The sequence below is a fragment of the Homo sapiens genome, chromosome 9 (assembly GCF_000001405.40).
Source record: "Homo sapiens chromosome 9, GRCh38.p14 Primary Assembly".
In the NCBI taxonomy this organism is placed as follows: domain Eukaryota; kingdom Metazoa; phylum Chordata; class Mammalia; order Primates; family Hominidae; genus Homo; species Homo sapiens.
Window position 1 is genome coordinate 101,103,419 of NC_000009.12, and position 21,571 is coordinate 101,124,989.

The 21,571-nt window shown below is 39.3% G+C and overlaps 1 protein-coding gene across 1 annotated transcript in view, besides 2 other annotated features; it reads left to right on the top strand.

Annotated features, from left to right (window-relative positions):
* PLPPR1 (phospholipid phosphatase related 1) overlaps window positions 1-21,571 on the top strand; it is a 296,409-nt gene that overhangs the window by 74,692 nt on the left and 200,146 nt on the right. The gene's annotated exons all lie outside the window — the stretch shown is intronic.
* Window positions 11,650-12,151: an enhancer, noted in NCBI's record as "NANOG hESC enhancer chr9:103877350-103877851 (GRCh37/hg19 assembly coordinates)". NCBI's record gives its function as "activates a minimal SCP1, AML or CMV promoter by ChIP-STARR-seq in naive H9 embryonic stem cells {active_cell/tissue: H9 hESC(naive)}" and the evidence as "EXISTENCE:reporter gene assay evidence [ECO:0000049][PMID:30033119]".
* Window positions 15,849-16,143: a silencer, noted in NCBI's record as "tiled region #7573; HepG2 Repressive non-DNase unmatched - State 12:CtcfO". NCBI's record gives its function as "represses a minimal TATA promoter and a strong SV40 promoter by Sharpr-MPRA in HepG2 cells {active_cell/tissue: HepG2}" and the evidence as "EXISTENCE:reporter gene assay evidence [ECO:0000049][PMID:27701403]".

Below are 21,571 nucleotides of genomic sequence, written 5' to 3' on the forward strand. Positions count from 1 at the left end.
CTTGTTTTTCTCAGGTTTGTCAAAGATCAGATAGTTGTAGATATGCGGCATTATTTCTGAGGGCTCTGTTCTGTTCCATTGATCTATATCTCTGTTTTGGTACCAGTACCATGCTGTTTTGGTTACTGTAGCCTTGTAGTATAGTTTGAAGTCAGGTAGTGTGATGCCTCCAGCTTTGTTCTTTTGGCTTAGGATTGACTTGGCGATGCGGGCTCTTTTTTGGTTCCATATGAACTTTAAAGTAGTTTTTTCCAATTCTGTGAAGAAAGTCATTGGTAGCTTGATGGGGATGGCATTGAATCTGTAAATTACCTTGGGCAGTATGGCCATTTTCACGATATTGATTCTTCCTACCCATGAGCATGGAATGTTCTTCCATTTGTTTGTGTCCTCTTTTATTTCCTTGAGCAGTGGTTTGTAGTTCTCCTTGAAGAGGTCCTTCACATCCCTTGTAAGTTGGATTCCTAGGTATTTTATTCTCTTTGAAGCAATTGTGAATGGGAGTTCACTCATGATTTGGCTCTCTGTTTGTCTGTTGTTGGTGTATAAGAATGCTTGTGATTTTTGTACATTGATTTTGTCTCCTGAGACTTTGCTGAAGTTGCTTATCAGCTTAAGGAGATTTTGGGCTGAGACGATGGGGTTTTCTAGATAAACAATCATGTCATCTGCAAACAGGGACAATTTGACTTCCTCTTTTCCTAATTGAATACCCTTTATTTCCTTCTCCTGCCTGATTGCCCTGGCCAGAACTTCCAACACTATGTTGAATAGGAGCGGTGAGAGAGGGCATCCCTGTCTTGTGCCAGTTTTCAAAGGGAATGCTTCCAGTTTTTGCCCATTCAGTATGATATTGGCTGTGGGTTTGTCATAGATAGCTCTTATTATTTTGAAATACATCCCATCAATACCTAATTTATTGAGAGTTTTTAGCATGAAGGGTTGTTGAATTTTGTCAAAGGCTTTTTCTGCATCTATTGAGATAATCATGTGGTTTTTGTCTTTGGCTCTGTTTATATGCTGGATTACATTTATTGATTTGCATATATTGAACCAGCCTTGCATCCCAGGGATGAAGCCCACTTGATCATGGTGGATAAGCTTTTTGATGTGCTGCTGGATTTGATTTGCCAGTATTTTATTGAGGATTTTTGCATCAATGTTCATCAAGGATATTGGTCTAAAATTCTCTTTTTTGGTTGTGTCTCTGCCCGGCTTTGGTATCAGAATGATGCTGGCCTCATAAAATGAGTTAGGGAGGATTCCTTCTTTTTCTATTGATTGGAATAGTTTCAGAAGGAATGGTACCAGCTCCTCCTTGTACCTCTGGTAGAATTCAGCTGTGAATCCATCTGGTCCTGGACTCTTTTTGGTTGGTAAACTATTGATTATTGCCACAATTTCAGATCCTGTTATTGGTCTATTCAGAGATTCAACTTCTTCCTGGTTTAGTCTTGGGAGAGTGTATGTGTCGAGGAATGTATCCATTTCTTCTAGATTTTCTAGTTTATTTGCGTAGAGGTGTTTGTAGTATTCTCTGATGGTAGTTTGTATTTCTGTGGGATTGGTGGTGATATCCCCTTTATCATTTTTTATTGTGTCTATTTGATTCTTCTCTCTTTTTTTCTTTATTAGTCTTGCTAGCGGTCTATCAATTTTGTTGATCCTTTCAAAAAACCAGCTCCTGGATTCATTGATTTTTTGAAGGGTTTTTTGTGTCTCTATTTCCTTCAGTTCTGCTCTGATTTTAGTTATTTCTTGCCTTCTGCTAGCTTTTGAATGTGTTTGCTCTTGCTTTTCTAGTTCTTTTAATTGTGATGTTAGGGTGTCAATTTTGGATCTTTCCTGCTTTCTCTTGTGGGCATTTAGTGCTATAAATTTCCCTCTACACACTGCTTTGAATGCGTCCCAGAGATTCTGGTATGTGGTGTCTTTGTTCTCGTTGGTTTCAAAGAACATCTTTATTTCTGCCTTCATTTCGTTATGTACCCAGTAGTCATTCAGGAGCAGGTTGTTCAGTTTCCATGTAGTTGAGCGGCTTTGAGTGAGATTCTTAATCCTGAGTTCTAGTTTGATTGCACTGTGGTCTGAGAGATAGTTTGTTATAATTTCTGTTCTTTTACATTTGCTGAGGAGAGCTTTACTTCCAACTATGTGGTCAATTTTGGAATAGGTGTGGTGTGGTGTTGAAAAAAATGTATATTCTGTTGATTTGGGGTGGAGAGTTCTGTAGATGTCTATTAGGTCCGCTTGGTGCAGAGCTGAGTTCAATTCCTGGGTATCCTTGTTGACTTTCTGTCTCGTTGATCTGTCTAATGTTGACAGTGGGGTGTTAAAGTCTCCCATTATTAATGTGTGGGAGTCTAAGTCTCTTTGTAGGTCACTCAGGACTTGCTTTATGAATCTGGGTGCTCCTGTATTCGGTGCATAAATATTTAGGATAGTTAGCTCCTCTTGTTGAATTGATCCCTTTACCATTATGTAATGGCCTTCTTTGTCTCTTTTGATCTTTGTTGGTTTAAAGTCCGTTTTATCAGAGACTAGGATTGCAACCCCTGCCTTTTTTTGTTTTCCATTGGCTTGGTAGATCTTCCTCCATCCTTTTATTTTGAGCCTATGTGTGTCTCTGCATGTGAGATGGGTTTCCTGAATACAGCACACTGATGGTCTTGACTCTTTATCCAACTTGCCAGTCTGTGTCTTTTAATTGCAGAATTTAGTCCATTTACATTTAAAGTTAATATTGTTATGTGTGAATTTGATCCTGTCATTATGATGTTAGCTGGTGCTTTTGCTCGTTAGTTGATGCAGTTTCTTCCTAGTCTCGATGGTCTTTACATTTTGGCATGATTTTGCAGCGGCTGGTACCGGTTGTTCCTTTCCATGTTTAGCGCTTCCTTCAGGAGCTCTTTTAGGGCAGGCCTGGTGGTGACAAAATCTCTCAGCATTTGCTTGTCTATAAAGTATTTTATTTCTCCTTCACTTATGAAGCTTTGTTTGGCTGGATATGAAATTCTGGGTTGAAAATTCTTTCCTTTAAGAATGTTGAATATTGGCCCCCACTCTCTTCTGGCTTGTATGGTTTCTGCCGAGAGATCCGCTGTTAGTCTGATGGGCTTTCCTTTGAGGGTAACCCGACCTTTCTCTCTGGCTGCCCTTAACATTTTTTCCTTCATTTCAACTTTGGTGAATCTGACAATTATGTGTCTGGGAGTTGCTCTTCTCGAGGAGTATCTTTGTGGCGTTCTCTGTATTTCCTGAATCTGAACGTTGGCCTGCCTTGCTAGATTGGGGAAGTTCTCCTGGATAATATCCTGCAGAGTGTTTTCCAACTTGGTTCCATTCTCCACATCACTTTCAGGTACACCAATCAGACGTAGATTTGGTCTTTTCACATAGTCCCATATTTCTTGGAGGCTTTGCTCATTTCTTTTTATTCTTTTTTCTCTAAACTTCCCTTCTCGCTTCATTTCATTCATTTCATCTTCCATCGCTGATACCCTTTCTTCCAGTTGATCGCATCGGCTCCTGAGGCTTCTGCATTCTTCACGTAGTTCTCGAGCCTTGGCTTTCAGCTCCATCAGCTCCTTTAAGCACTTCTCTGTATTGGTTATTCTAGTTATACATTCTTCTAAATTTTTTTCAAAGTTTTCAACTTCTTTGCCTTTGGTTTGAATGTCCTCCCGTAGCTCAGAGTAATTTGATCGTCTGAAGCCTTCTTCTCTCAGCTCCTCAAAATCATTCTCCATCCAGCTTTGTTCCGTTGCTGGTGAGGAACTGCGTTCCTTTGGAGGAGGAGAGGCGCTCTGCATTTTAGAGTTTCCAGTTTTTCTGTTCTGTTTTTTCCCCATCTTTGTGGTTTTATCTACTTTTGGTCTTTGATGATGGTGATGTACAGATGGGTTTTCGGTGTAGATGTCCTTTCTGGTTGTTAGTTTTCCTTCTAACAGACAGGACCCTCAGCTGCAGGTCTGTTGGAATACCCTGCCGTGTGAGGTGTCAGTGTGCCCCTGCTGGGGGGTGCCTCCCAGTTAGGCTGCTCGGGGGTCAGGGGTCAGGGACCCACTTGAGGAGGCAGTCTGCCCGTTCTCAGATCTCCAGCTGCGTGCTGGGAGAACCACTGCTCTCTTCAAAGCTGTCAGACAGGGACACTTAAGTCTGCAGAGGTTACTGCTGTCTTTTTGTTTGTCTGTGCCCTGCCCCTAGAGGTGGAGCCTACAGAGGCAGGCAGGCCTCCTTGAGCTGTGGTGGGCTCCACCCAGTTCGAGCTTCCCGGCTGCTTTGTTTACCTAAGCAAGCCTGGGCAATGGCGGGCGCCCCTCCCCCAGCCTCGTTGCCGCCTTGCAGTTTAATCTCAGACTGCTGTGCTAGCAATCAGCGAGATTCCGTGGGCGTAGGACCCTCTCAGCCAGGTGTGGGATATAGTCTCGTGGTGCGCCGTTTTTTAAGCCGGTCTGAAAAGCACAATATTCGGGTGGGAGTGACCCGATTTTCCAGGTGCGTTCGTCACCCCTTTCTTTGACTCGGAAAGGGAACTCCCTGACCCCTTGCGCTTCCCAGGTGAGGCAATGCCTCGCCCTGCTTCGGCTCGCGCACGGTGCGCGCACACACTGGCCTGCGCCCACTGTCTGGCACTCCCTAGTGAGATGAACCCGGTACCTCAGATGGAAATGCAGAAATCACCCGTCTTCTGCGTCGCTCACGCTGGGAGCTGTAGACCGGAGCTGTTCCTATTCGGCCATCTTGGCTCCTCCCCTCAGGAACAACTTTTATCTTCTACTATTGTAATTCCATGTTTTTGGAAATAATAATAATAATAATCATGTTTGTTAAAAGAGACTTGAATCAGGTAATGCATGATAAAAATCAATTGATCTGTCTATGGACCAGGAGTTGTCAGATAGTAAGCATCTTGCAAGGCTTATTCTACTTCGTATTCCTGACTGATAGCATAGAATCTGGTACCCAGTAGGTGCTCAATAGATGTTTGTTGAATGAAATAAAAACATGCATAGGTGATGCATAAAGAAATGATTATGCAATGTTTTGGATAAGTAGTATGATAAGATAATTTATTGTCCACTTTGAGACTCTTTGTGAAGACAGGCACTGTTTGTAACTAAGTAGTCATGCCAGAACAACAGGCATAGACAAGAACTGTCCAGGCATACAAGAAATTTGGTCACCTTAAGACAGCAAAATGGATTTCTGTTTAGAGAAAATAAAAACCAATAGCATTGTAATTCAGTTCCTTTTATCCTTATTCTTCCTTTGTTTCTTTATTTCTGGTAAATCCCACTTCATGCCATAAATTAACTCCAAACAATTAAGCTACATCTTTTGTCTGCTTTGGAAGTTTCAGAATTCTTTTCATTTCCAAGAGCTATTTTTTATAAAATGTGTTTTTATGTTAATATGCAATGGGTTTATTAGTGTTATTCCTGAATTAATAAATATTTTTTCAGTTTATCAATATTATTTACCAATATAGTAAAGACTGATATAACCCACATAAGCAAAAGCTCTTTTTTGTCTTCAATAATTTTTTTTTTTTTTTTGAGATGGAGTCTCCCTCTGTCACCCAGGCTGGAGTGCAGTGGCGCGATCTCGGCTCACTGCAAGCTCCGCCTTCCGGATTGACGCCATTCTCCTGCCTCAGCCTCCCAAGTAGCTGGGACTACAGGCGCCCGCCACCACGCCTGGCTAATTTTTTGTATTTTTTTTTTTTTTTTTTTTTTTTAGTAGAGTTGGGGTTTCACCGTAGCCAGGATGGTCTCTATCTCCTGACGTCACGATCCGCCGGCCTCGGCCTCCCAAAGTGCTGGGATTACAGGTGTGAGCCACCGCGCCCGACTGGTCCTCAGTATTTTTGAAGGGTATAAAGGGGTCCTGAAATCAAATAGTTTGGGAACCTCTGATCTACTGTAATTAAACACCATCATTTCAATAGAAAACTGAAACTTAGATTTCCCCAAGGGCGTAGTTGATGCATTTAAATAAGCATTTTATCATCTTCTCTCTTTTGACATTGCTCATCATGTTTCGTATATCTAAGATTGTGAGCTCTTATAAAGCCAGTGCTATGCCATATACTTCTGGCTTATAGCACAATCATAGCTACACAGGAAGTATTCAAAATGTACTCACTGAGTGAATTATTATTCCCGTAAATTTCAAAATTTCTTCTAGTATGTTTTTCAAAAGGTATACATAGTAGGTTCATGCACAAAGCACTTAATGTTGATTTTTTTAGCATTCCCATGGCAAGATCTTATAATTTAGTAATCTGTAATCCTATTATCCCAGGATAATCGCTGTTAGTATTCTTGGGTATATTCCTTTTTTCTTTTTCAATACAGTTTGGAGTATTTGAGTACGACCTTATATTTTAATAAATTTTCCTCATAATCAACTAGCCATATATAATATCTGCCACTGGGCAGATTGTTTGTGACATGTCACTTTCAAAGTTACTTTGAATTCTTGGCATATACAAATGGCCATTGTGTGGTGCTGAGTGACTCTGCTTTAGGAAAGGTGGGGATGCTTCTGTTCAATAATTTCCCAGCAAAGTATCCCAGACATGTAAACAGTTAGTCATTTTCAACAGTACTAAAAGAAAACAGCTCTTGTTATTGTTTTAAATTATCATCTTCAAAAGCAATATAATATGTATGTAAAGTGAATAATATAAATTACAAAACAAGTTTTTAGCTAACAAATTAGCTGAAGAATAGCAGGAACAAGAATTTCACCAGGCTTCAGAATTCATATGATGATTCAACAGGATTTTTGAATTTGAGTTTCAGATTGAGTGATAGATCTCACTTATAATTTAAAACATACAAATGACAATAACAACAAAAATAATACAGTTTCTTAGCTTGCAGAGTGACAAGGATTAAAATGTTGCATAATACTCAGTGTTGCTGAGGATAATAAAAATGTAAATAAACACAACTATTTAGATGGCAATATGGAGACATCTAGCAAAATTAAAAGGCATCTATCCATTTACCTAGCAAATTCCTTTTATTCTGAAACATTTACACAAATTTGCAAAATACACGTAGAAGAATGTTATATCATTGTTTTTAATAGCAAAAATTGAATGAAACCTACTGTCTATCAATTGTGGACTGTTTTTATGAGCCATGATATATCCAGGCCACTAAATCTAGTAAAATTATCAAAAGGATTGAGGTAGAGATATAATGTCCTGATAGTGAATACTCTCCAAGGGGTATTGCTAAGATTTAGCATGCTTCAATTTTTGTAATTTCTGGACGAATAAGAAGTTGCTAACAGTGGTTACATCTAAAGTGCAGGGTGGCATGGAGGAAGAAAAAATATAGGTGTTTGCTTTTTGAGAAATGATGTTCATGTGTTACTTCTATAATTAGTAATAGTTTATAAAGAGCCTTAAGATGTATACCTTTTGATCCAGCAATATGATATTTTGGAATTAATCTTATGGGAATAACTAGGTATGTGTGCAAAGCCATGGTCCCATAAGATGTTCTTTTTGCCTTGCTAATAATCGTGAAGAATTGGGAGCAATATAAGTGATCAACCACAGAAGATGGGTTAATGGAATTATAGTTTGTTATTAAAAATAATGTCATAAAGGAATATTAATCATATATTAGATGATGACCCTTGGAAAAGTATGGACAGTGTAACTAAATATCTAAAATGATATATACCAAAACATGACTAGCGGTGGGGTAATGGGTGATTTTTATATTCTTCTTTTTATTTTTAAATCTATGTTTCCTAAGTACTCTCTAAAGAACAAGTGTTATTGCTATTAAAAAGAAAATAAGCAATTCAAGTCGTTTTCAGAAAATAACAAATAAAAGCTAGGAAGATATTCCTGCTAAGGGTAAATCAATCTTCTCTTGATATTATTAGAATATCTGATTCTATATTATTGTAGCCCAATTCTATTTCATAGTTCAGTAATGCTAATAATGCTTTGCTTATGCAATAGAATTTATATGTAACTGATGCATTCATAAGACCTTTTCTATTTAGCAGTCAATTCCTTTAATAAAAATATTTTGGAGATTGTATGGTGAAATATTTGGGGGATAGTATTTTCCTGTTATACCTATATTTGCATGCCTAAATAACATTAAATTATCAATGCAATTTGGTATGATTTGTCAATATTCTGTTAGTGCTAGTCTGGCATTTTATAAATAGATTTATTTATTTTGCTAAGATAGACAAACTATGAAGCACTGTCAGTTACTTTGTGAAAATTTCAAATACCAGGTAGTGAAACCTAATAGCACAGTTGTAAAAACTGCATATTATTATTTTCTGAGTCTCTCTGACCCCACAGCAGTGCAAATGCTTGCATTTCTCTCTGCTTGACCCAATTGAATCATATCGTTTTAAGGTATCTGTCCACCCAACCTACCATGGATAATGAGACATTTAGAAAGGCATATAAATATTAGAAAGTCTTTGTAGTAGAACTGAATAAAATGTATTCGCTCAAATACCAATGTTTTTAAATAGATACAGCGTTGCTTCAGCCTCACCTCCTCCCTTCCCAACCACATAATGTGCTTTATTTAAACAAATTGAAGTTCAGAGGATCATTTGGAATTTCCCTGTCCCCATATACACACTTTATCAGCAGGCATACATGTCAACTGAGAATCATATTTAAAGACAATGCAGTTTTACAATGTTATTTAAACATCTTACCTGCGTATTAGCTTAACACCTAGTTTGTCACTTAGAAACTTTTGTGTCAAAAATTATTCATGGTGGTGAAGACAACTTTCAGATTCTGTCATTTCTATATTGTTTTATGAAGCACATACATATATGTATTTATATTTACATAATAGGCAACAGGTACTCCACATATAGAATTAAAAAGTGAGTACAGAAGGAAATAAAAGTTTATTTTCATGAATAGCATTTAGATAAGATTGCTGTCCTTACCTATTTAGTATTGGGTTCATATTCTGAGAGGATACAATTTTTGATTTTAGGAGTTTGGCTATTGTTCTCATCTAAAAATATCCAAGATTAACAGCTTCAGATGCAAACAGTGTCATTAGCAGTCTTTCAGATGGTTTAATACAGAAGCTATCTCTTCCTGCATTTAATCATTGTCTCCTCCTGGCATGCAGTAATTCCTTCCCTCCACATGCAGAACCCCCACATGACTCCATAGTTACCCCAAGCAGTGCAGAACTGAGCTTGACAGTTTCCGTATGGTGCTTCACACTTTGGGGAAATGTGGGAATGAGGAATGCTGAGAGTGCACCTTTCATTCCTCCAAATTGATATAGGAAGTGGTGCTGGCAGCTGTCTAACTGTGAAACATCTGAGCAGGTGTGTTAAAACTTCATCTTCACATTGTCAAATGCCAGGTGGCAGCACTTGCTTGTTTGTTTGTTTATCATTTATGTCAAAATAAACCCAGCAGAAACAAGAGCCTGTCAATTCACATGGCAGACACTGACCATTCAGATGTCTGCCTCAGATATTTTCTTTCATTTTCAGTGAACATGATTTGCAGCTTAAAAGATGGATTCTTTCTTCTAGTTTTTTACTTCTCATTTTGGGAACTGAAAAATCGTGAAAGATGCTTCTAATTATCTATTCACAGTTGTATATACCTGGACCCTCAACCGTGGCTGTGTTATTCTTTTAGACATAGACATTCAAGTTCAGGAGGTCATAGAATGGTAATCAGAGTTGAGAGAGGAAGTTATAAGAATAATTTTATTCTCTTGCTTAATTCTTAAGCATATTAATCCTTTTTTTTTTTTTTTAACCCTGGAGGATGTTTTAGTAGCCTCCAGTGTGAAAACTAAATACTGGTTCTGATTTACTTGAACCAAAACTAAACGAAACAAAACACTAAGGCATTAGGTCAGTGTTTTTGTACATTTATGCCTTTATACTATGTAAATACTGTGTGCTGTTTAGAGAAGCAACAAGAAAGTGATATGAGTAAGGGATATATAACTATTATTTATGTTTTTAATTTTTCTGCAGGAAATAGATCTCTTATAAGATGAACCAGAAAATTTATCTTCCCAAGATCTTTGCAAACCAAAATTCAAATGTACCCAGGGCACTACAATTACATTCCTAATAGGAATTTTTACAACTTCTTAAATAGTCTAGTATTGAATATGCTTGGGGGAAAATGTAAGTGTTAAGAAAGAACAGAAAAAACAAAAAAACAAAAAACAAAAAACAAAAAAACCAAAAAACAGTCTATTTTGCCACTGAAGCTTTTTCACATGCAAAAAACCAAACAACAACAAAAACAGAAAACCAACCAAACTCCTGCATTGTTGATAGACATACCTTTTTTTTTCACAAGAAAACTTTTAAAAAAGCAATTTGCATATTTCTGCAGAAACATGAAGCTCTGTGGTTCTTTTGGTTATGTTGCAGAATTGTGCAGAAGTCTCTGCCCAGCAATAAATGAAGGCAAACTTGGAAAGGTTAGCTGCAGGGTCTGCAGGCAGAGAAGAAGGCCTGGAACCTGGAAGGGGACTTCTTAGGAGATGATATGAGGAAGCACAGATAAGGAAGGAGGGAAAGACAGTGACAGGCAGAAAATAGGGACAGTTCAGATGGTCTGAAGCATTAAAAAAAGTGTAGGCGTTTTCCTTTCAAATGAAGTCAGAGAGAAAGAATAGGAATGAGAGAATGAATGAGGCCAATCTGAGGCTAAAAAAAGAGGAATCTTCTCAAACTGAGCTTCTGTAATAACAGTAGTTAATATTTCATTGAACACTGTTCTAACTGCTTTAATGTATCATTTCATCCTCACAACACCCTTGTGACCAGGGTACTACTATCATCCCCAACATAAATGAGCAGCCTAAGACCCAGACAGGTTAAGTAACTCACCAAAATCACATCCTAGTAAATGGTGTATCAGGCAGGATCCCAACAGGGGACAGATAGCACACTTGTATTTGTCTGATTTAAGGAGACCTTAAACCTGAAGATCCAGGAAATAGATATGGCTGTGTGGATAGGGTCATCTACAAAAGACTGAGATCTTTAGATAAGGAATGTAGCTGGCCCAAGGTCACTCTGCAGGGAGAGAGGTAGGAGTATCAGACCTCACTCTCCTTTCTTCCTGTCTCCTGCCATTGCTCCCCACTGGGAGGCAGGAAGGTAAGGAAGCCAGCTGATGTGACTCGCACAGGCCAACGCCTCAGGACACAGCACAGTGTAATTAAGGTAGATCTTGGGGTAAGCAACAGTGGAAAAGGGATTTGAACTTTATCTGGTTCTGGGACAGATGCTCTTAACAATTACATATCTGCCTCTCTAAGTGCAAAGTGCTTAGGTAGAGCTGGTCCCAATTTAATGAAGACCTGAATGGTCAGCGAGGGGTTACTGTTTCTCCAGCACTCCTTAAAAGCACAGTAGGTGGATGCTGGTAGACATGCATCTCTATAAAGGGGAGAGCTTAGGACAATTTGTTAATGGTCTGGTTTAGATGAACTTATTCAGTACCTTTGAGAGGTGGTGGAGAGGTCTCCTTTTTATTTTGTTATCTCTTGTAGCTAATTATGTTTCTCAGCATAGTGTGAGCCCTGCAGTTGCTGGAGATGACTCTCCAGGTAACTTCAGCATGACACTCTGGGGCCAGACTGCATTTGATTTTGCTGCCTTCTCACATTCTGTCCCATCTCCACAGTACAGAAAGTACATTCATTTATGACACCTCAATCCATTTCCACTCCAAAACCCTAGTGAAACGAAGTGCCCCACTCACTTCTGGAAGATGGCTTTCTTCTTTCCAAATGGAGCTTCAGGAATGCACGGGAAAAGAGGCAGCCTAAGCATTTACATGTATCCGTGCTCCCAGGCTGATTCACACAAAGCATCAGCAACCTGCATAAATTTAGCCTGTGAGGGCGATTGTGATAGTTGTGAGAGTGATGACTGATTTCAATATGCAAGTATTTATTGGGTGCCTAAATGGGCAAACATTGGGGTTATAGTGATGAACACAACAGATGTAGTCTTATCATACTTTTGGGATTTTACTTTTAAAAGTACAAATTGCCAGTTGAGATTGAAAGATGTGTCTTTTCTTCCCTTAGGGAATATAAGAGAGGACAAAGAATTGAGCTTAAAAGAAAATCATTGATGTAAGAGACATAAAAAACCATATTGCATAATAGCCTTTTTAGCAACCGTTACTTAAAACCTGACAGTGAAATGAGCATATATACCATATGGCATGTGTGTATTATGCCTTTATCATATTACTTGAATGTACACTTAGCTGCATCCCATTTTAATGAAAGGGATTTCTTGCTTTCTTTATACTCAGAGAATTCCCTCAGATTCAACTACACTTAGCTGCATCCCATTTTAATGAAAGGGATTTCTTGCTTTCCTTATTCTCATAGAATTCCCTCAGATTCAACTAAAAGAGATAATAACAGCAACAATAATAGTAATTTACTCCATTAAAGATGACCACTTTATGCTAAGTTCCAAATAACTCTCACTACTTAACAGCAGATTTTGGACTCTACTCAAGACCTTCCAGTTTTTCAGAGAATGAGAAGAACATTCTGTAGAAGCACAAAACTTTCAAGATTCTCTAGGAATTAATACAAATCCAAATGCGGTTCTGTGGCCAAATGTCAGTTTCATCTAGAAAATCCAATAAATAGCTATAGAGTACTGACTGTCTGAGAGGCAGGCAACCAGGAAAAAACATGCGGTTAAGAGTACAGGCTCTGAGAGAATAATTATGTTTTGGGAACTATAGTATGTCTGTTATTAGATTCTAGTCTCATGAGTTGTTTTTTAAGTTTTTTTCTGAATTTAGACTAACTCTGCTTATTCATGTGAAACCACCAGTGATCTCTGGCTGCTGCTCAGAAGAAACAAAAGGAATGGGTAATGTAAAAGTCTGAATCAATATTCTAATTTTGTCCACATATTGGAATCAGGTAGCGGTCCCATATCAGCTTGGTTCCATCAGTTGCCCAGTTCATGGAAAGCCTTCTTATTTAGTTTACTTGGGATAATTTTGCTTAACTGTTGTGGGATATATTGCTGTTGTACTCTTTGTGTAGAAATGCAGGATAACGGCTTGGCGCAGTGGCTCACGCCTGTAATCCCAGGACTTTGGGAGGCCAAGGCGGGCGGATCACAAGGTCAAGAGATCAAGACCATCCTGGCCAAGATGGTGAAACCCCATCTCTACTAAAAATACAAAAAAGCTGGGTGTGGTGGTGCGTGCCTCTAGTCCCAACTACTCAGGAGGCTGAGACAAGGTTCGCTTGAAGCTGGGAGGTGGAGGTTGCAGTGAGCCAAGATTGCACCACTGCACTCCAGCCTGGTGACAGAGTAGGACTCCATCTCAAAAAAAAAAAAAAAAGTAAAAAAAGAAATGCAAGATAAGCTTATTGAATGTTTTCCTAAATTGAGCACTTATTAATCTTCCAAATATCACCTTTTGTTGAAACTCAAGATTTATGAGTGGCCCTCAACATACTGATGCTTTCTGACCAGGCTTCTCTCTACCCTGAATATAAAAGACCTTCATAGTTAGGCAGGGATATCATATCATCGTTCCTATTCAGCCTGAAGAAGTTACAGAAGATGGATCTTCATCCCTCTGCAACCCTTAGGATTAAGGGTTCTCTTATAAAAGGAAGGGGGAAAATGTCAGAGGCTTTTAAACCAGAGTGACTTTATCATGTATAGAGGCTGGGTAAAATGAGGCTGAGACCTACTAGGCTGCATTCCCAGGAGGTTAGAGCATTCTTAGTCACAGGATGAGATAGGAGGTCAGCACTAAATACAAGTCATAAAGACCATGCTGATAAAGCAGACTGCAGTGGAGAAGCCAGCCAAAACCCACCGAAACCAAGATGATGACAAGAGTGACCTCTAGTTGTCCTCACTTCTCATTATACACTAATTATAATGTATTAGCATGCTAAAAGACATTCCCACCAGCACTATGACAGTTTATAAATGGCATGGCAATGTCAGGAAGTTACCCTATATGATCTAAAAAGGGGAGGAAGCTTCACTTCCAGAAATTGTTCACCCTTTTCCTGGAAAACTCATGAATAACTCACTCCTTGTTTAGCATATAATAAAGAAATAACCATAAAAATGGGCAGCCAGCAGCCCATGCTGCTGCTCTGCCTATGAAATAGCCATTCTTTTATCCCTTTACTTTCTTAATAAACTTGCTTTCACTTAAAAAAAAAAAAAAAAGTACAGGCTCTGAAATCACACATGTGAAAGAAAACCTTAGGCAAATAGTTTAATTTCCAAAGTCTTAGTGTCCTTCTCTTTAAATGGAGATACTACCTCTTTCAAAAGGCAATTGTGAAGATCAAATGACAACCTGCACCTAGCACAGAACCTGGCACATCTGAGCACTCAATAAACATTCCTTGATCCTACCAGTATTCTCATAATCACCATAGTTTTGTCTGACTCCCTCTTTTCAAATTAAGTGGTACTCTGGGATATTGGGGTTAACCCTGTCCAAGGGCTGCTTTGTTGGACACTGTCAGTAGAGACAGAATGTGTAAGTTTAGCAGTATTTTCAAGTAAAAAGCATAAAGGAACAATTCAGATGGTAGCCAATGGGTGAAAGAAGATAAAATAAAATATTCAGAGAAATTACCTAAGATACAGTGCAGCTGCTATAGCTTTGATTTATGACTAACATCCTAGGACAGAGATGGGGAGGAAGCTGATAAACAGAGGCTATGACCTGCTGTGGGCAATAATGTTTCAGGATCTCAGGTGCCACTTCACAGATGGGACATAGGTGTTGCCTGGTTGGGTTCTGAGTATCTGGGTTTAGTGGGGCTGAGCTGAGACAGCCAAAGAGAAAGCACATAAATATCCAAGGGAGAGAATGTGTCTGGCTTCAGACCTTACAGATCAAAATTGTCTTTCCAGATAAAGGTCTAAAAGAGAGAGCTGAATAAATCAAACAAGAGGTGACGAGAAATTGAGGAGGAAGTGAAGCACAGAAGATCTGAGACTGATATCTGCACTGGGAAGGGATATCTGGAACTCTCTCTCTCTCTCTTTCTCTCTCCATGGGTTCTGGGGTTGCACATTGGTTGAGATAAAGATGAATTTCAGTTGGACCAGCAGATATTGGAGAATGATGAGAGCAGCAGTTAAGGAAGGTAGGGGAAATATTATGGAGCCTACTTTAGATCATGCTAAGGGGTTTCTATTTGAGCCTGTAGACAATGTTGATCAGATTTCTGTTTTACAAAGACAACCCTTAAATGCTTCACCTTATCCCCACAGTCCTAATTAATTGTCTTTGCTTCTCATTCCCACACAGCTTGGCTCTTGCCACATCGTGACTTATTTTTTATTTTTTTTCTATGACTATCTTTCTCCTTCCAACTGTGAAATTTCTTGAAGGCAGACCCTATGTCTTTGACTTTGATGCCATGTTTTTTTTTGTTTTGCTTGTTTGTTTTTTAAGACAAAGACATGGCAGGTAAAATTCAAATTTGGATGACATCCATGAAACATGAGAAGTTCGTTTCTAGAAGCTCCTGAAGGACTTGGGCTTGGGGCTCAGAGAGTAAGTTGCTTCTCTCCAATACTAAAATCAAGCCCCTGGGAATGGGCCAGCCAAATTGGACATGCAGCACCAGGAGCTTTCTGAGAGTATTTTTCTATTTCTTTTTCATCTCTTTTCTCCCCAGCCTTACCATGTTCTTGTCCACAGAGGTCAACATATGTTTAGTACATGAAAGGCGGATACCTCTTCTTTGAAGAGTAATTTGTGGACAGGGCCTTCAGAGTAGTGCTTTCCCTTGTGTTATGGTATCCTTGTGTTCCAGGGTGGTAAGCTGCTTTGGCAATGTGGCAGCCCACTGGTCTCCTGGGAGATGCTTCAAGAGTAAGCCATTTCACACCGTGCTGCCTGGGGAGCTCAGAGCAAACCCTGGCCATCAGATATGGCCAGTGGAGGGCAGCAGAGGGCTGCAGAGCATGGTCCAGTGTCCCTCTGGAGGTGATGGAACTATCAGGACAGGTATCTGCATGTGAGAGTGCAGGATTGACAGGAAAATGCCTATCAGCAATCAAGAAGAACCAATAGATTCTTCGGAGAAAGATCAGGCTGTAGAGATATTGAGGAGCTGGCACCTTGAAAACCCTGAAGTAGATTAGGGAATATCAATGGGAAACTAGAAACTCAGCATGTGGAGTAAGGACCAGCCTAACACCATAACAATAATACTTCTGCCTTCTGCAGATCACCAGAGGCCAGAGCTGGATGAGATGCCTTCCAGAGGACCTCGAAGATAACCTCAATTGGCCTTTTTGCCCCTCTATCTAGCTTAGAGAATGCAGTGGCTCTGGGCTCTGGAATAATAATCTCCTCCCCATCCTTCTTCACTTCCCTCCCCACCCAAACCACCCATTTCTGTCTCATCTGTGGTTTCATACTCAACTGTGGAGGCTAGTGCCATACATAGGTGAAAACTCAGGTTATCAGTGGCTACTCAACAGCCTCACTAGTGGCCAATCTAACCTCACTTTACTGCCATAATTAGAAGTTAGCAGGTGTTTCTACTTTTAGCCTCTGTTTTATTGGCTTTGCTTACTGGCTAAAACAGGTCTTGGGATTCTTTCTGTGGCTGATTAAGTCACACATCTTGACACCTAAAGTGATGTTCCAGCCAAAATATATTTGCACATGTAATAATAAAAATAATCATCTGCCACATATGAGAAAGAGACAGAAATCTCTCACAATTTATTTTCCATTTTATTTTTACTCCTGTTAGCACCTTCACTCTAGCCAATGGAATCCGTTGTTGTGAGTTCCTATTGTTAGCCTTGATGGCTAGATTTGCTGATATTACTGGCATTAGGCTTTGCAACTTATTTCAAGGAAAGATAACATTTGGATGTCCACATTTTTGTTCAAGGTCACTGGCCAATTGTATCTTATCAATGTCTTTATCCTTGTATCATCTATATTTATTACACCTTAAGGAAGCATCATAAATATCCTTATTGGCTAGAGCCTCACTTCCTTGTGAGGCATCTTTTTCAATGACTTATCCTTGCCTTTCTGTTCATAGTTGGTTAGCAACAGGTGCAGTTGAATAAATGGGTGGGTATGTGTCTATAAGATAAGTGCCATCTCCTTCTTTTATCTTAAGATATTTCCATTTCTTCAGCTAAACAATGGAGATGATTACACCACCATATGCTCCCCTCCTTCAACAGATGTAAGTGTGGGGTCATCACCAAAGAAAGGGTTTGAGGACCAGTTACTCAGCCACACATCCCAAATGGCTTAAGAATCTCTGTATTCTGGAAGAGAATATGGCCCTATGAGGGCCTTCCTATTATATCCAGAATTTAGTGACTTTTTCTTCCTATTACCATAATCACATCCATTGCATTGGACATATGGTGGCTTAGAGGACAGAATTAGAATTAATCAGTGAGTGGCTATTACAGGGAAACAAGGACTCAACTTAAATAGCATTTTCTAAGTTAAACTTGCCTAAAGATTGATGGGGCTGATTCACAAGGAGGTGAACTATAATCCTGGGGGTTTTAGGTAGAGGGGAAGACCAATTGTCACCACTGGTTCTCTCTGATGGCCAGATCAGATTCTTTGTAAAGTCTTCTGTAGCACTTGGGACACATAATAATTACAGGCTTCTAAAATGGGTTTCTAACAAGTTACTACTGTTACCTGAAATCATAGCCAGCAGAATAGTGCAATGCATTTTAAAAACAATATCTAACTTCTTTTTATCAGATGAGGAATATATTAGCATTCATTGAGCTCCTATGTATCAGATATTGTGCTAAGCACTTTACATCCTTTAATGCTTGCAACAACCCTGTTAGGCAAGGGTTATTCTTTTCATTCCACAGGTAAAGAAACTGAGACTCAGAGCATTTAAGTCAGTTGTCTAAGTTCACATCATAGTAGAACCCAAATCTGTAGCCAGATCTCTCTGAATAGCTGTCTTTTCAACGCACCAGGCCACCTTTTATGAAGAAATAAAGGCTATGCTGACCAAAGCTCTGTTCTCCTGAGTATTACCATGCATTTTAGTTGCAAATAATATTTAATACAGTAATACATAATCAAGGAGTATTTTTTTTGTCAATGACTGCAGGGTAAACCTACCTTAGCTTCATTCTACATTCACCTCAGAATGTGTGTATAGTCAGTTTTCACACTGAATGTCAGCAAATGGAGTGGATATGGTGCTCAAAGAAGGCAAAAAATAAGTGATCATCTTAGATTTACAAGAGTTGCAAAAATTTTATAACCAGCTATGCTGTAAGAATTGTGAGTGTGGTCAAGTAAGACTAGTGAATTCTTCCAGAAGGTAGCAGCTTTTTCCCTTGCTATTACACTGGCTGAGTATCTACTCTTCTTTAGATATAGGATATGCACTAGGGAAGCTGTTTGAAGACTGATTACAAATGTGGCCATGACAATGTGGTTAAGTGATTTCATTAATATGTAGTTTAAAGAACAAAAAGGCCAGTGCCACACCAAGGAACATGGAGGTAGCATTTTCCAATACTGTCTAGAAAGCTGGAGCATGTCCAAATAGTTAGCCTTTGGGTATTTATTTCCTTTGTATGAAAACAGACATTGAAACTTGCTTTGTATTCATTTGTTTTTCAGGTTAGTTATTGCCATTTGCTTTGAACGTGTATAAAGGGATTTTTCAGAAGTAGCATGTGAGCTGTAACAAGGAATCTTATCTGGCAATCTTCCCTGATCTGTCACTGAAGGCTAATCTCACCACAGGAACACTGTCATACATCATAAAGATATATACCCTTTCCAGGCATTTTAAAACATATTTATTTTTCCTTCGTTTTACAAATACTGACTGTCTACAATTGTTGGTTTTAATAATATTACCAGCAAACAGTTAATTGCACTTGCTGTGTGCATGGCATGGTTCTAAGAGCTTTTTATCTCACAAGAACTCTGAGATGAATCTCATTTTCCAGAAGTGGAAACTGTATAAAGCTTAATTTTTTTTCTTAATAGACTAGGAAAAAATAAGGTTAATCAAAATCTCTGCAAGCTTTAAGGTTGATATTTAATTTAAAACAAAACAAAAACAGTTTCAAAGTAGTATATTCCCAACGTTATCTGTAGAGTCATATTTATTGTTCACCTTAATGTTCAGTCATCACTAAAGATTTCTGTAGCTAATCAGAATCAATGGAGCCACTAAATTTATTGTGAAATAAATGACATCCCTATGAAAAATACTCTGTTCTAAATATGACCCAGGACAAACTCTGAATTAGAGCTGTTGCATTTTGTATACTACTGTACTTCCATCTTCATTAACACCTAGCCAGTCTTTCTTCTAACACCTAGTTAGCAACTGGTTACTGTCAAAGACTGCTGTGTTTCAGTTCTGTCCAGAGGAGCTAGATCTGTATTTGTCTACATCTGTTTCCAGAATTGCAAGTAGTAACTTTTAATATAAATAGCTTTTCTTAAGTACAATGTTTTGGGGCCTCATAAAAGCACTCTTCCCTTAGACCTGAATGTAACATCGGTATGGTAGATTCACCTGGGCTTGTGCCAAGGAATTACTGTTCTGAAGCTTCTCAAGGTCTTTGTTATAGATGGTTCTCCCTATAAGCCATATCAATATATCTCTATATTTTCAAAATCCGAAATACTGTTCTATGCTCTCAAATTGATACCAAACATTAAAAATCTGAAAGTCCTCCCAAATTAGGAATATTGAATAGCTCTATCTATAAGTTAGTCCCGAACTAACTTATAGAACTATAAGTTAGTGTCTTGAAGACACTAAGAAGTAGAATATTTTTATGGTTAGGTCTCTGAGCTTGGAAATCAGATGGCCTGAGTCTGATCTGGCCTGTATGGGCAACTGTGGGTTACCATAAATGTAATGTGTCCAGTGATAGATGGGTGCTCACAGGATAGTAGGGAGCCCATGGAGAGGGGTTGTTGGGGTGATCAGACCCAACACCAGGTCGTGGGGGTGATGAAGTCTGGCGGAGTCAAAGGATTGAGAAAAAGACAGTTTGAGAAGTAAAGTGGGACCAGGGGGCCATTGTGATTGTGGAGGCTGTGAAGGCCCTGAGCTCTGGGAGCCCACACTATTTATTGGTAATCCAACAAAGAAATAGGTGGTGAGAATGTGGAGGTCAAAGGGCACGTTGCTTTAAGCACATGATTTACAGCTGGGATGGCTTAGCATTTGCTCTGCTACTTGAGATAATGGAGAGCAAGTTCTTTTAACTCAAAATACAATCAATGCTGGGAGAGCAAGGAGCCAGCAAGTCTAGACAAATTCCAGAGCCACGAGCCCTGGATTCTATCCAAGTCACGAGGGATTTTATGCCCTGGGCTTAGATTATAGTGCGTCAGGGTAGCCTTCCACCTTTAGCACAGAGCTTGGTGTTCCAAAGGCCACAAGGGGTTTTAGACCCTGGACCTCAGACATGTTCCAAGACTCTTTTACATTATGTCAGACATGCAAGCCCTGCCTCAGCTTCTCCCGACACTCAGCTTTACCCAACATGCCCCCCTTCTCTTTTTTGTAAAACAGAAGGTATTATTATTACTATCATTATTACTAGCTATCATTATTTCTAGCATAAAAGGTGGCCTCTTTTAATTGAGCAAGGCACTTTCATGCTCTGCAGCCTTTAATTGCCGGTTGGTGATCCAGCTTCATTTTTCTTAGCCCTTATTCAAACTGGAGTCGCTCTGGTTTGAATACTTCCCACACATCTCCCCTTTCCCTTTTTCAAGAGGACCCTTAATTCTAGCGGTTGCAGAAGGATGAAGGTCCCTCTTCTGTAACTTCTTCATGCTGAATAGGGGTGATGATACTCCTGCCTAACTGTTCAGTTCTCTTGTATTCAGGGTAGAGAGAAGCTCAGTCAGAAAGCATTGGTCCATTAAGCATCTGTAGGTAAAACCCTGGTGCTCCAGCAGTTTTTCAGCTTCCTGTGCGGTTTTCTTGATCTGTTCCCATGTCATGGGGATTGCACCTACATGGTTCATTCATCTCCTGCAAAAACACAAGCATACCCTCACCTCCATATTAGTAAATCTAATGAAACAGAAGCAAAAACATTTTTGGCTGTAGCCAGGAGGCCACTGATAATGAGAAACAGGCCCCTTCTAACAGAAGGCACAGGGAAAGCAAATCAAGGCTTTTCAAACCTTCAATTCACACCGTACAGGTGGGCCCACTAGATGCTGTGGCTCAGGATAGATCTTCAGATGTTTCGTGGGCACCCACACAGGCACCTGATCATCACCTGAAGAGACTCAAGTAAATCCTCTTCCCCATATAGTTATCTTTCCTTTTTCCCAGCTCTTTGTATATGACCATATTTTTTTCTAAGGCCTGCGGCCTTAAGATGAGTTAACGAATGGAATGCTTGTGCCAGCAAAGACCGCAGAAACCAATGCATCCACCCCTTGATTAAGTTTAGTTAAAGGACCAAAAGGTCCTGGAGAGAAAAGAAAGAGCATTTTTATCCTTAC